We start from the raw sequence: 16,119 nt of genomic DNA, 5'->3' as shown, positions 1-16,119 counted from the left end.
TCCCTGAGAAGGAACAGTGTAAAGCAGAACTTTGAACTGAGCCAGGGAAAATATAGTGCAAGGGAGAAATAAATCTCATAGTTTCAAGCCACTGATATTTTGGGGTTGTTTGTCACTGAAGCATGGTTTAGCTTGTCTTTATTATTACACTGTCAGAATGGTATTTTTGCAAAATCACTCTGGCAGCAGTGCCATGGACAGACTTAAGGCAAATGTGAAGGCAGGGTACCAATGCAATGGGCCACTGAGTTGGTGCTGTGGCAGGAGCACAGGGCCCAACCATGTTCCCATCCTGACTTTGCCATTTACTAACGGTAAGATCTAGAAGTCAATTGACATCTTTGAGGAAATTATTGATTTCATAGAAGAGGGATTTATTGATTGGCTTTTCCAATTCTGACATTCAATTATACAGATTAGAAACTAGAATTTATGGACAACTAGAATAAATATATTCTGACTATATAGAATTTAAAAAAATGGAATCAGAGATCTCAGTAAGTTTACTGATTTTTACTTTCACCTTTTCCGTTGCCACAACCCTTCCTTCTACTCCACCCAAATTATTTTTCTCCCTTAATCCTACTAAAGCTTTTTCCTAGGATTTTTCATTCCATCTTACTTTCCAGTGGGAAGCAGTATATTATGTTGGCATCAGATTATTCTATCTCTGTAATATATTACCTGTAGTACTTCAAGAGAGCTACCTAACCTTTCCATGTCCTAATGTTCTGATCTGTAAAATTAGACTAACATGTGCCTTGTGAGACCATTGTGAGAATTAAAACACATTATAAGAAGTACTTTGTATACTGTCTGGCATATAGTGGGTACTCATTAAATAGTAGCTATATCTATCATTATTTTTAATATTGCTAATATGCCCACTTCATTCATCTCAACCTCTCAACTCTCAGTGCTTCGTAATGCAAGGGGCTTAATTTCTGGAACTATCAATCAGCGACCAGTCCCAGTCATTCTTTGAACTTCAGGTTTTATAACTCTGATTAGGTAATAATCTCAATAACCTGAGACGTAAGGTTGTTGATATCTCAGCACTTACATGAGCCATGCTAATTTAATGGTAGTTGCAGTACTGTCAAAACTTTATGATTTTTAATTACAATTTCACTCTTGTAACAGCTACTTGAGGGTTTCTATTAATGAATATAGGCTATATATATTTTGTCACTAATTTTACTTTAGGATGAAAAATCCTCTGTTCCATGAACAACGTATAGAGCCAGTCAAGTTTACAAATTGTGTGGCTTCATTTGTATATAGGTACTTGATGGGGTGATGGTAGAATAAATATTACATGGTTTTGGTAAGAATGAACTACAGATAATAGGACAAGAAAGTCCCTAAATGAAAGGATACCCGTGTGTGTGTGTGTGTGTGTGTGCTTGTGTGTGTGCCTGTCTCTCTATGGGTGTGTGTGAATGAGAGAGAGAGAGCAAGAAAGGGGTTATATATGGTTGGTGATGTGCTACTGTTGCAGAATTAAGTTTTTCATTTTACCTGCCTGTTTTTGGACAATGAAGTCTTTCACATAGAAACATTAACATTTAAAGAAAAAACAATGAAATATGAAATCAGAAACTTGAAAAAATCTTACAAGTTACAGTTGAATCTGATTACTTCTGAATATTTTCCCTAAATGTTTGCGGCTAATTAAAGGAACTAAAGTTTTATCTTAAGTGCCTGTCATAACTGATGGTATGTAGCTACTTAGAATGTTGTGGTGTGTTGGATTTTCAAGGCTAAACCATGTTAATGGCTGAAATGGGCACAAGGGGGGCCCCATGACTTGGTAAAACTTTCAACAACTTCAATGCAATCCAGCTCTGCTTGTGCATTACCACATGAGGGCGCTCTTTCCATCAGCTATACATATATTCAGTGTTTTTTTCCCCTTCAGTGTTATTCTTTTTTTCTAATTAAAAAAAAAACAAAACCGCGTATTTATCATGCAGCATCCTAAATTTTACAGAAGTCCTAGATTCATACCATAGAAAATACATCTCCAAATACTGTAGATAACACAAACTTAATCTTAGCTAATTGGATTTGGTGAAAAAATCTGAAAGGCTTCAGATCCTATTGCTAAGGGAGAAATTATGCTGGGTAGATTTGTACTTATGGTGTCTATTGGGATTCACAAATGTGTATGTATCTCAAATAGTTTCTCTGTAAGTAAAGTTTGGAAGTGTAAAAATGAGAGAATATTCAAACTACTTCTTCCGGAAGAGCTCTGTTATCTGTTGAAATTCAATTATTAAATCTAATATGTGATGGATGGGTGCTATTTGTCTGACTGTTACTGTTTATTAAGTAATGCCTATACATTATGAAATATAAGTGGAATCCATAGTGGGAATCAATTAAAATCTAGGCATTTTTTTAATGTACAGGTTTTTTAATGTTAAATACCAATAGAAATTTAGTGCCAACTCAGAAACTTACAAAATGATTCCCCAAACCCTCATGACAACATTAGGAGGTGTATCCAGCTTCCGTGCGAATTCCACTAAGAAGGGCATAGACTAACAGGTCATTTATGACCACAAAGGACAAGTTCACTCAAGGTATGTACCAGGGATTAATGTTTAGTACAAGGAAAATAAGTATGATGACAGAAATCAATACAGACATTCACAAACAAGAACAGAGACACTTTGTTTGCCAACCAGAGAAAAGTCACAGGAAACAAAGACAGGAGGAAAAGTCAGAATTAAATTCATCTCAAGGTACCTCAGGGACAATGCTATTATTGGTGCACTAGGGCTTAAAAGGACAGACCAGAGGCCAGCCAAATGTGTACATCCCCAAAGGCATGATTGAACTGTATTTTTGCCAATTGTTTACGTAGTTTGGTAATTTCAAAGGCCAAATTTTTTTTCATCCATGTGTTCTGCTTATCACTTGCTCAGTGATGCCAAGATTTTCCCCAGAAAAGAGTGATTTCATTTTCATGAGAGCTTTTGATCTCTGTTCAAACACAGTCGTTTTATGTTAGGGCTTTGAGCTCTGATAATGTGCTGCCTTTTCTTGAAAAGAAATGCTTAAACATTTACTTAAATGAATAAGTGCCAAAGACTTAAAATTTCAAAAGGTTGAAGATGAAAGTGCAGGCTGCCCTAGAAAGAGTGCTTTGTAAAAGGTCATTCATATTGTTAAGGTACCTTTGAGGGACCAGGTATAGATAGGAATAGAATAGGAAGACAGTGAGAAGATTTTGTGGTAGATGGGAACAGGTTTATAAACCCGAGACCACTACAGACAGCTTTTAACCATTTTATAATTATTCCCGGAGCTGGTATCACTGAAATTTGTCTTTTGTGTATTGTCATTTTCCTGACCTGTTGAGTTGTTGGAGTTAAAGAACAACTCTCCTGAAATAAGGGAACTTTTATTCTAAGTAAATGCCAGGTATTTAGATTACTGTGTCTAGATGTGTAGTTTGAAGTGTGTGGAGGATTTATAGAAAATCTCAGGGAGATAATTAAGACAATTAAATGTCTGGGAAACAGATGCATGCATATAGGCTAAGGAACTGAGATCTTTTGGCCCATAAAATAGGACTTCCAAGTGCTACATGTATTTAAAATTTATACTGCAGAAAGTTACAGTAGCAACTTGCTCTCTTCCCCACATCACCCTCCTTCCAGTGCTGGAGGATGAAAGCTGCTGTTGAGATCTTTCTGGAGCCATCACTGGAGGGTTTGCTCTTTCTTCAGGAGGAACTGATAGAAATAGAGCTGACAAAGAGGCTGCAGGGATTGAAATTCGACAATATAATAAGTATTTTTTATAAATTTTTATATGAAAATTCCTTTGTATCCATGAATCGTTGGTGACACAATTGGAGAGAAGTGAAGGGATTTTTCAGATATCATATTTGAATGTTTTTCTTAATGTGAATTATTCTGCTTTTCCATTCCATTGTTGAAGTGGATCAGCCTCTCCTTTCCATAATTACTTGATGATTTTAATCACAATTGAGACCTGTTAATCAGTCTCTCTTTTGTGCTTTGCATCCAGGTACCACTAATTTCTTTGCAGAAACACTGAGTTCGATAATTGTATTGCAATTTAAAAATTTATTATGATCAATTTTTTACAGGAAACTACTGTCTTTCACAATAATTTTAGACATTAATTCTTTTCATATTGGCAAAATTATTTCCATTCTCTGATTCTCCGTTGGAGGAAGTTGTATAATCGACAACTACAATAGTTCAAAGAAGAGAGATACTGGTTGAAGTAAATGTAGAGGTGTGTGTGTGTGTGTGTGTGTGTGCGTGTGTGTTTGTGTTTGTGTCGGGGGAAGCGAGAGAGAAAGACTAAAAACAAGGGTGATAGCAAAATCAAATACAAATAGGCCTTGTCCAAACATCATTCTGTAAGCAATTCTGCCTTACCTGGATCCAGGGATGAGGACAGTGATGCTACTTAAATTGTGTGTATTCTGTTTAAGTAATTAATGGATTATGTTAACTAGAAACAATATAACAAGGAGGTTAGTTTTTCTTCCTTCTTTCCTAAGGATTTTAGCCAATTTCAGATAGAAAAACATTTTTTAGCATAAGTATGTCCCAAATATTGCATAGGATATACTTATCCTAAAAAGATTCATTGTTTATTCAAAATTAAAATTTAACTTGGTATCTTACCCTTTATTCATGCTAATTCTGGAAACCTTACATATGACCAAACACCCAGAGGAGGTGAGGATGCAAATCACGTAGAAAATGAGCATTCTCGGCAAAGGAAACAGCAGATGCGAAGGCCTTGAGTTAGGAATATATCCAGTGTTTTCAAAGGTTGGCCAGGAGGCCAGTATTATAGTAGGAGTGTTATAGTAGAAGGAAGAACATTAGGAGGCATAGTCAAAGAGATGAGAGCCAACATTTAAAGGTATTCTTACTTTTATTATGACATAGGAATCTCACGGAAGGCTTTGAGCAGAAGAGTGAAAAAACATGGCTGATATTCTGAAATGATCGCTCTTGTAATGATGTTGATTTTGAGAATAGACTCAAAATGAGAAGAATGGAAGCAAGATGCCCAGTTTGGAGGCTACTATGCTACTCACATGAGAAATGATAGTGGTTGTGAATAAGGTACTTGTAGTCCAGATGATGACAAGTTGCTAGATTCTGGATATTTTTAAAGATAGTGTTATTATGACTGATTAATGATTTCCTATGTGGCATATGACAAAGGAACAAAGGATAACATCAGTGTTTTTGTTCTGAACAACTAGAATAATTTTGTCTTATTTAGTTATATATAGAAGAGAGTGTATAGAGAGGCTTTGTGTGTCTATTAGACCAGAGGAGAACAGTTCAGATTTTATTTCAAGAATAATATAATTTCTTTGTAATAATTCATTGAGCTGCAAAATTATAAGTTATATACTTTTGATATGCATGTGACAACTTCATAAAATATTTAAAAATAAATAAACAAAATAAAAATAAGTCAACAGAAACAAAATAGCATGAAAGAAAACCCAAGAATGAACATGTTAAAATGTATAAGGCCTACAAATAAGATCTGAGATCTTATTAAATATCTAACAATTAAATATGAGTGCTTGTAAATTTGCCAACGAAACTGAATGCAATTCCCACTGAGTTTATGTTAATCTCAAGACTAGATTAAGAACAGCTGGGATGTGGGGAGAAATGGGAAGCATGCCACCTAATTGAGAGGGACAGAGGCATCATGAATAGGATGAAGTGGTAGAAATGCACAGGAAAGTTGGAACCAGAGAAATAGACAAGACTTGGTCCCTACTGCGATAAAGGAGGAAGGAAAAGTGATGTCCCCCTATCTTGCACTGGGACACCTCCAAGACAGTCCTGTCCTTCCCTGAGATGGGAAATGCAGATTGGGCATAGTGGAGAGTTGCGAGAGGTCAACGGTGATCAATAGCTTCTTCCCTTCCTGCTACTTCCTGCAGTCTCTCAGGAAGAAGGTTTAGGAAATAAAAAAACAAAATTAAATAAATAAAAACAATTTAAATAGTCTGTTTATGAAGTACATACATTGTCAAGAATGTTTATTGCCATTGCATATTTTAAATTCTAACAATAATCTTTTACAGCTATAGAACACATTTTTTTCTTAAAAGAGAATGAAAGACAATCCACATAATCATTACTTCTGTAATTAAGCTGACTAAAGAACACGATGCAAAACAAAAATATATTTTAATGCATAATCAGAAGTAAAATTTTAAAGAGGGGAAAGGCATTTAATATAGATTTCACTGATTTCTTCATCTGTAAAAAGAACAATAATATTAAAATAACAGTAATATTAAGTTGGTATTTATAAAATGTATAAAGGCTCATAAAAGCAAAATTGAAGTTTCTCTGGCTTTGTAATTTCAACATTTTCTTTTTGCTGCAACTTAGTATTTCTTAAAATAAGTCTTTGGCAGTCAATAACCTTTTTTAAATAACAGATTTATAATAGGCGTAGGCATTGGAAATAATTCAGGGTCTTTCTTTTGTACTTTATCATTTATATATGTGTATGCCATCTGTGGGGATTCTGATTGTCTGATCAATATTATCTACTGGCACTGTCACTGAAAATTTTTACTTGGTGGTCTTCCTCTGCTTTATGTTGAAAGATCTTTCTTGAGAGGCTTTTTGGAAAATTTGGAGTAAACAAATAGCTAATAATTACATTCATAAACTAAATATGAATTCTGTCTTAAAATGTTTAATAATACATTTTTGGATAGTGAGGACAATAAAAAATAAGACAGCAGATATCATGACTTAATGAACATCAGGCTTTTAAATTATTGGAGCCAGGTATGTACTTAGAGGAATTGTTATCACTGCTTTAATTGTGAGTTTAAATTATGCACAGTTACTGATTCCTACTCAGTAGACATATAGATTTGCCAAAAAAGTAAAACAAGCTTTGCTATTTTCTTGCAATGCATAGTATATAATTAAAATTTAGACTGATTTTGGAAGGAAAAAAAATAAGAACATCGAATTATGGTGTTGATTTCTTGTATCCCTGGATTGCCTTGTTGCACAACTGTGGCTTCTAGCCCAGCAGCATCGGCATCACCTGGAATCTGTTGGAAATGCAGAATTTCAGTCTCCACTGCGGACCCGCTGAATTGAATCTGCAGGCCAGAAAAATCCTTGGGTGATTTTCCTGCCAATCAGAGCACTGGAGAGAAAGGGGAGGGGAGGAGAGAGAAAAATGAGAGAGGTGGGGAAGGAGGAAGAGGGAAGGAGAGAGACAGAAAGGGAGGAGAGGAGAATGGAGGGGAGGGAAGGGGAGGAGAGGAGAGGAGGGGAGGGGAGGGGAGGAGAGGAGAGGAGATAGGGATGAGTAGAGGAACGGAGGGGGAAAGAGTGGAGGAATGAGATAGGGTAAGGAATTGCAGAGGGATGTGGAGTGAGGAGAAGGGAAGAAGGAGGGCTTGTGGATGTTTTAAGATTATGTTATTTTAACATATATTCTAAAATTGTGGTTCGAAGACAGGGGCAAGTATGAGGGTTGGGTTTTTACAAATGATATGTCTGTACCAACCATCCTAACTCCAATATGGTTATTCTTCTCTCAACTTTAGTAGTAATATTGTAAAATATTATATTGATCATTTTGGGGTCAATTTAATTAACTTTAATTTTCTAAAAGTGGGCTGGTTCTTTCCAGTAGTATTAAATTCACATTTTCTGGAGTATTCATGAAGAAACCAGATAATCACTTGTTTTCTACAACTTACTTCCTCCACATCCTGTTTGCCTCCTTTATTTTAGTAAAATGTACTCAAGACTTTACTCCTATGAAAAGGTGGAAAGCTAATTGGATTTAGACTATTTCTGGAAATGTTCACTTTTATATTTTAGATAAGTCAGGAGGCTAGGTGAGAAATGATTGTACTTGCCAGTACTTGACTGATTTTATTTGCACAGAAAGGAATTTTTTTCTGAAGGAAAAATCCCATTGATATGTAAAAGGATACGGCAATAACAGAATTTAGTGAGTGCTTACTATATTATAGACATATTACATAATCTCATATGCTACTAAAAATTATTAGTTCAGTATGCTAAGCCCTCATTTAACATTGTTGATAGGTTCTTGGAAACTGTGACTTTAAGTGAAATGATGTCTAAGGAAACCAATAGCTAATGGATATAAACAAGAGTTAAATTCTTATGGTATATTTCTGCTCATAAAACCATCACCAAACTTCTAAATAAAGACCAAAACACTTCTAATATTAAACACTGAAATAAATGTGAGTCATACATACATTTAAGAAGGTTAATAAAAACAAGTAAGACAATTGATTACCCAACGATTCCAGTTCAGGGCTGCAGGTGGCCAGAACATGCACATCTCTGGAATGTGAGAGGAAACTGGAGTATCTGGAGAAATGCATGAAGTCAAGGGGGATAATGTGCATATTCCATAGACAGTGGCTCCAGCTGGATTCGGTATACATTTTTCTCATCAACGTTGTAACAAAACGACGTTTAACTAAATGATGTTATGTGAACACCTGCTGTACTAGCATTTTCCCAGTGCTGTTTGAGAAAACACCAGAGAAACAATTTGCCTTGAGCTACATTCTTTTTAATTAATGAACCTGAAATTTTTAACCTATTGTAGCTTATTCTAGCATTAATTCTATTTTATCTGATTCCAGATCCATATTATTTAACCACTAAACCAATATACTCTACTATCTATTACGCATATTTTTGTCTGAGTTTATGGAATATTTTATAACAAAACAATTTAGAGCTCATTTGTTACATCCAGGGTAAATCATAAGTTACCTGTATCCATGAATGGTGTACACAAAACAGGTATATTGATCACCAGAAAACCAGGGAGTCTATTCTATAGTTAGGTGTTTAATATGAACGTTGTTTTGATCATATTCATGGTCATTTAAATGCTAAGGAAAAATAGAAAAACACAGTTTCAATTAATAAATATTTTTGGTTAATAATAAAAACTTTTCATAAAAGTTTTTTTGCTAGTTAAAATAAATGAGAATCCAATTATATTTTGAAATAGAAACCACAGTAAAACATTATAAGTAAAACTAGCCAATACATTTATAAAATATTAAATTCAACGTTGAATGCTAATTGAATGCTAATGAAATGTTGATAGAACTATTCCAAGAGAAATACTTCCACTTTCTCATAGTCAAAAGAGTTAGATACTTGGATATGACAATAATACTATTTTATTATTCAAATAATGTAATTAATTTTCTCACTAATTAATTAATTACCATTTTATTTTTATTATTTTCCCAAAAACTTTCTATTATTATTTCAGGGTTTTGAATGTGTCATGTATGCATAAAATAATTCGTGTGAAAGTGTTGAAACTGAGTGGGAAGCATTAAATTGTATATATAAAGGCTACTTGCTTGAAAACGACCCTCTGTTTCAATTTATTTAGAAGTGGTGGCTTATTTCCTGTTAAATGACTTAATAATAATGTTAACATGAAGAAAGATTTTTGAGTGATTAAGCTATGCCAAATTCTTTACAATATTCTTTCATCAATTCTATATATGAATTTGTAAGATTCTAAGTCATTACCTTCTTTTTTTTGAAGATGAGGAAATCTGAGGCTTAAAGGAGTTAGGCAGAGTTTTAGGATGTGGGAAATTTGGGATTAAGACCCATATGAAGAGCAACCCATAACCTCCATATTGCATATTTATTTGGTCCTTCTATTTGGATTGAGACTAATTCTACTCTCCCTCCCTATGTAGATGGAGGTTAATTTCTCATGAATTATATGTCACTGTTTTCATATATCTAAAATAATTTATGAAATCATACTTTAGTTATTCATGCTGTAGGCAAGAAAAGTTTAAATCATTTTAAATCATTAATAATTCCTCTGACATCTCCATGTATAATCTTTGATTTACCATTTTATTATCTTTTATGATCGGCTCAAAGTTGCTGGATTTCTTTGATCCTTAGGTGCATGTTTTTCATATTTAAATATCCTCAACTCACGATCTATCTAATAATAGATGTCTCCTTACTGTGTTTAGATTAAGTTTTAAAAATAGTGAATTTTTTATTAAATTCACATTTTAATGTCCTGTAAAATATTACATCAGATTTTGCATTGAAACAAAAGAAATGTGTAAAAAGAAAAGCACAGGAAGAGAGTGGCAGGATGTAATTTTGATTTTAGTGAGAATATATTTATTGTCCAAGTAATGAAAGCAATGCTGTACTTTCACACAGTGAAAGAGATAAACACCCCTAAGAAAAGAAGCTGCATTGTTTTGTGATTGAGATGTATAGAGAAGTTTTATTTCACATGGCAAGCAATGAACAGGAAGGGGAAAAAATAATGAAATGTTTTGGAAAAAAGAAATACATTTCAAAGCAATGAGATATATGACCCAACCCTACACAGACATATATATTGACAATGTACTATTGATACTTCTTTTGGGCTTTTGAACTTCACATTTTTCTTAGTAGTATGATAAGTAAATCTTAGATAATATTTAATATTAGCATCGTCATGCACAGTGCTTATGCTGTGTATTATTTTTATAACTCCTTAACCTACTTTCCCCTTCACAAATCATTGAATTTTAATTAATCAATGGTTTATTTAAGATACAATCAGTATAGCTTTCCACAAGAAACTTTACTGCCATTCTTTGAATAACTTCTCCTCTGGCACATATATAAAGAGAACAGAGGGAATAAAGTTGTTGCTAACAAAATTACCTTATTTCCAAGATTAATGATAAGCAAATAATTCTTCTGAAAGGATCTAATGCCTAGATTTACAGCTATATAAACTCTTTAAAAAACTCAGGGCCTGTTATCTTTAAACAAACCAGTCTTTTCATCTCAGCACCACTAGTAATTTATATGGTTACTCAAAGAATTAATGGCTTTCATATCCTTTATCATTTCGAGAAGTTTTTAATCTCCTCTATTATAAAAAAGGGATCACAGCATGAGAGATTTGCAGTATTCTTTGTAGATGTCTTCTTTATCTCTTTAATTTAAAAAAGAGATATTCCAGACTGCTAAAAAGCAATGTTTGTCAATATAAATACAGTGAACGTTTCCTTTGTAGAATAGTAGAATTGCTTTTGTACTTTTATTGGAAAAATAAATCTTAAATATATGATTCACTTATTTAAATACTTTATTCTCCTCGTTAAACTTGTGCATGAGACACAGTGATTCACTTGCAGAATTTCAGGAGGACAGAGATGACTATGACATGATCCCTTTTACTGCTGTGTAGAAAACACATTAGGAGGATGTGGAAGACATAAGAAAGGAGAGGTTAGGAGGTGAAGGTGATTGTGATAATCAGTGAGAGATTATGGTGGTTTGTATATGATAGTGATAGGGAGGGATGGCAAAAAATGAATAAGACCTACTTGATAGCACAATAGTCAGTAATAACTTAATTGTATATTTTAAAATAACTTAAAGAATGTAATTGGATTATTTGTAATTCAAAAGGTAAATGCTTGAGGGAATGCATACTCTATTCTCCATGATGTGCTTATTTCACATTGCATGCCTGTATCAAAACATCTCACGTACCCCATAATATATACATCTACTATGTATCCACAAAAATTAAAACAAAGAAATGTTTGGATTCTAGATGTATGTTGAAGTTGGCATTTCCAAAATACTTTGTCATGTCAGCTATTGGAGTTTAGAAAAAGAGTATAATCAAGAAAGACTTTTAAGTGTTTTGCTTGCACAACTGAAGGACTCAAGTTTTGAGTTACTAAGAGGAGGAAGATAGCAGTAGGGAGAGATCCTATGGGGAGGTAATCAGTAGTGGAGTATTAGACAAGCGTTATATTTAAGTTGTTTACTGGACGGCTAAGTAAAAAGGTGTAAATATAGTAATGATTCCATGTTTAATGTTTTGACAAATTGACAAATTGTTTTTCAAAGCAGCAAAGCAGCTATACTATTGTATATTCTCACTAGCAATGTATGAGGGTTCTGATATCTTCAGATCCTCATCAACACTTGTTTTCTGACTATTTTATTCTAACCGTGTTTGTAGGTGTGTGAAGTGATATCTCACTGTGATTTCTATTTGCATTTCCCTGATGACTAATGATGTCGAGCATCTTTTTGTGCTTATTGACGATTTGTATATCTTGTCATGAGAAATGTCTGTTGAAATCTTTTGCCCATTTTTAAATGGTGTTATTTGTAAGAATTCTTTATATTCTGAATACAAGTCCTTTATTTGATATATGATTTGTAAATATTTTCTTTCATTATATGTGGATTGTCTTTGCATTTTCTTGATGGTGCTTTTTTGATGCACAAAAGTTTGAAATATGTATTGAGTTCCAATTTATCTATTTTTTATTTTGCCATTTGTGTTTTTGGTGTAATATCTGAAAACCCTGTGTAATTCATGGTTGTGAAGATTTAATCTTGTGCTTTAAACCAAAAGTTTTTATAATTTTTATATTTTTTAAAATAATTTTTATAATTTTATAATTTTCACTCTTACATTTAGGTCTATAATCCATTTTTATTAATGATTGATAGGTAGGGTTTCAACTTAATTATTTTGCATGTAGATGTCCAATTGTCCCAGTACTATTTTTTGAAAAAAAATTCTTTCCCCATTGAATTTCTTTGCATTCTTACTGAAATTCAGTTGACTGTAAGCGTAAAGGCTCATTTCTAGACTCTCCATTCTAATCCAATGTTCAGATGTATATATGTTCAAGGTGTGAGTATTTTATTGCTTATTTGTGGCTTGTCTTTTTGCTATCTTTACAGAATACGCTGATGAACAGATATTCTTAATTTCAACACAGTCAAAATCATCACTAGTTTACTTCAGGTTAGAACTCTTCCTCTACTTAAATGTCATGAAGATATTCTGCAATGTCATATTCTGAAAGACTTTAGTTTTCTCTTTCACATTTGGGTCCATAACAACCGTAGAGTTGAATTTTGACCTGATATTGAGTAGAAATCCAATTTAATTTTTTTCCATATTTATAACTAATTGGTTATGGTATTACCATGAAAAAAACTGCAGCACTAACCCTTTCATAAATTGTGTCCCTATGCATGAGACTGTTTTTATGTTTGTTTTTCTGTGCCATTGTTTTTTTGTTTGTCTTTTCAATACCAGAGTTTTAATTAGTTATAGATTTATAATAACTCTTGTTATCTTCTAGAATAGGCCCTTCAAACATGCATTTGTTTAAGTTTATTGATTTTTCCAGGTTCTTTGATTTTATCTGACAATGTAGAAATCATATTGTCAATTTTCGAATACTGGTTTGAATTTCTGAAACATATTATTGTATCTACATTATCAAAGTTCCCAATCCATGAACATAGGATCTGCATTTTTTTGATGTCTACTTTACCAAAGTTTTATAAACTTTCCCACAGAAGTCATGCCCTTCTTTTGTTGGATCCCCCACCCCTAGATTCTTGATAATGTTTGATGAAAAGGAACATAAAAAATGTTATTTTGGAACACTTACAAATTTAGGTAAAATTTACATACTGTAAAACATATACAATATCAGTGTACAGCTCATTAAAATATTACATTTTTATAAATCCATGTATTTGCTTAGGTCCAAGATATAAACCAATTCCTTTCCCCAAGATCACCGTCAGTTTTCTAAAGTGATTGTGTCATCTACGCATCTACTGGTTTTAGTTCCAGTTAGTTCAAAATTTTATCAACATATGGTGCCATTAGTTTTTGCCATTGTGACAAATGTGTAGAAGTAACACATTTGTCAGGACATCATCCTGTACAGGGCTGTTCCCACCTTGTGCCCTAAGCTGCTAGGATAGTCTCTCACCATTGAAACTGAAATAAACAAGTTGGAAAATGAATGAATGAATGAAGACAAATTATTGAAAAATAAAAATTGTAAAGGATATAAAATAAAAATGGTAAAAGATCATATAAATGCACAACAACAGACAGTGTGGTCCAAAAGAGCTCAGCAAGACCATCACATTAATTATTGTTTGTTTTTGAACTGCATGGTGGTAGGTCGGAGGTGCTCCTTACAATTTTTGTTTTGCAGACATTTACATTTTGATCTAACCTACCACCACCATGACTGCCATTGCTCATTGACTCACCAAAAATTGGGTAAATGATTTTCTTATTTGTTTTTATTAATCTTTCTTAAATTTATGTATAGCTTACATTTATTTCAATGTTTTCGTGACCAGAAATATGCCATGGGAACTTTACACTTTTTTTCTTCTATCAATTAGCCTATGGTAAAATTGGTTTTGTTATACGTCCTCTTGCTCAAAGTCAGTTTCCAAGAATATAATCAAGACATTAAGTGAGGACTTGCTATATATTATTAGCTGACACTGAAATTTTGTGTTAAAGTATGTTGAAATCCCCTTGAACTATTTTCTTTTAAATTTTATTTATGTATTTATTTTAGAGACTAGGTCTTGCTCTGTTGTCCAGGCTGAGTGCAGTAGAATGATCATAGCTCACTACAACCTCAAACTCCTGGACTCAAGCCATCCTCCCGCCTCTGTCTCCCTAGTAGCTATGTCTACAGGCATGTGCTACCATGCCTTGCTATTTTTTTTTTAATTTTTATAGAGACAGAGTCTCACTATTTTGCCCAGGCTAGTCTTGAACTCCTGGCCTCAAGGGACCCTCCCACCTTGGCCTTCCAAAGAGCTGGGATTATAGGCATGAACCACTGCACGTGGTTCCCCCAAACTTTTTCATAGCACTATGTTTTAGGAGTATTTTTTAAGCACCTGTTTTATCTTAATTTTGAATTTTTAAATTTACTTATTTTCTGCTTAATGCCATCTTCATGTAATTTCAGTGGGAGTAGGCTCCTTGCTATTGTCTGTGCTTAAGTTCCCAGTATGTAGAAAAGCTCTTGGCACAGGGGAAATGAAAAAGCTCTTTGCTGAAAGAATATCTTTGGAGCAGAGCTCAAGGAATAGCACGGTGAGGTCTGATTCCTTTATATATATTACTTAAGTCTATGATTTTTGATTTTGAGTCTTTTATTTTGCAGGATAAATTAGTTATTTTTTGATGAGTGGTAAGGGGTGTGATACCATTGGTAACACACATTTGGTAAAAACAGAGACTTAACAGTTAGCCAAGTCAAAGGAAAAATAACCTTGACTGTTATAGGTGAGTCTTAGAAAAATGAAATAAAAGGTAGCAATAAATTATATGCTTGCAAGAGAGATTTGTTAGTAAAAGCAAAGCAGTTAACATCCCAAAGTCATTTGTTATTCATTTCTGTTAGTGTACATGATGTAATCCACAGATGCTATCATAGTAGGACCAAACTTCTGAGTAAGGAGTATTGAGTAAGATTTTGATTTGTTAGAAGTATACAAGTCAGTATTTTGTAGGGAGATGTTTCAGGATTCAAAAATTTGAATATATACGATATATAATGACTCAAAATTTAAAGTAAAAGTTTCATTAATTTGATTTGATTGCCCTCCAAATTATCTCCACCCTCCTCCCCACACACCCACACTATTACTAATAGACACAATACTATTGTAGAGAGAGTAAGTGCTACACTTTCTCCTTTGTATTTCCCAGACTTCCTGGCAGGTAGTGTGAAGGCATATGTCTAGTTCTGGCCAATGGGCTGTGATAAGTTGTGTGTGCCATTCAATTGCCATTGAATACAGCAATTCAATAAGAATTGGTATTTTCCCCTATCTCTCTCTTACTCTGATATGGAACTTTGGAGGTGATGTGTTCAAGAGGTAGCACATGAAATTCATACATTATACCTGCATTAGAATATGAAGTGATGTGAAGAAGAAATAATCTTATATCATATATGACACAATATTTTGAGAACTATCTATTACCATAGCATGAGGAATCTATACAAATAATACAGTGATTATTGATTTATGTCTGAATAATGGTACATTTGACAAATGCATGTACACAGAATTCTTAAAATGAGATACTAAGAAAAATAAGCGTGTTACCCCTGGAAAGCATAATGCTGATATGCAATTTTATAATACCAGGTCACTTTCATGAACTAGACATTTA

General features: G+C 33.5%; 1 long non-coding RNA gene across 1 annotated transcript; it reads left to right on the top strand.

The window, feature by feature from the left end:
* The first annotated feature begins 244 nt into the window (after positions 1–244).
* LOC105377270 (uncharacterized) lies at positions 245–14,219 on the top strand. Its single transcript, XR_938859.2, has 3 exons — positions 245–314; positions 12,840–12,903; positions 14,123–14,219. It is a non-coding gene; the product is annotated as an uncharacterized LOC105377270 (long non-coding RNA).
* Positions 14,220–16,119: the final 1,900 nt, after the last annotated feature.

The sequence above is a fragment of the Homo sapiens genome, chromosome 4 (genome assembly GCF_000001405.40).
Source record: "Homo sapiens chromosome 4, GRCh38.p14 Primary Assembly".
Taxonomy (NCBI): Eukaryota; Metazoa; Chordata; class Mammalia; order Primates; family Hominidae; genus Homo; species Homo sapiens.
Note: the sequence above shows the minus strand (reverse complement) of the source record. Positions and strands in the feature narration are given on the sequence as shown.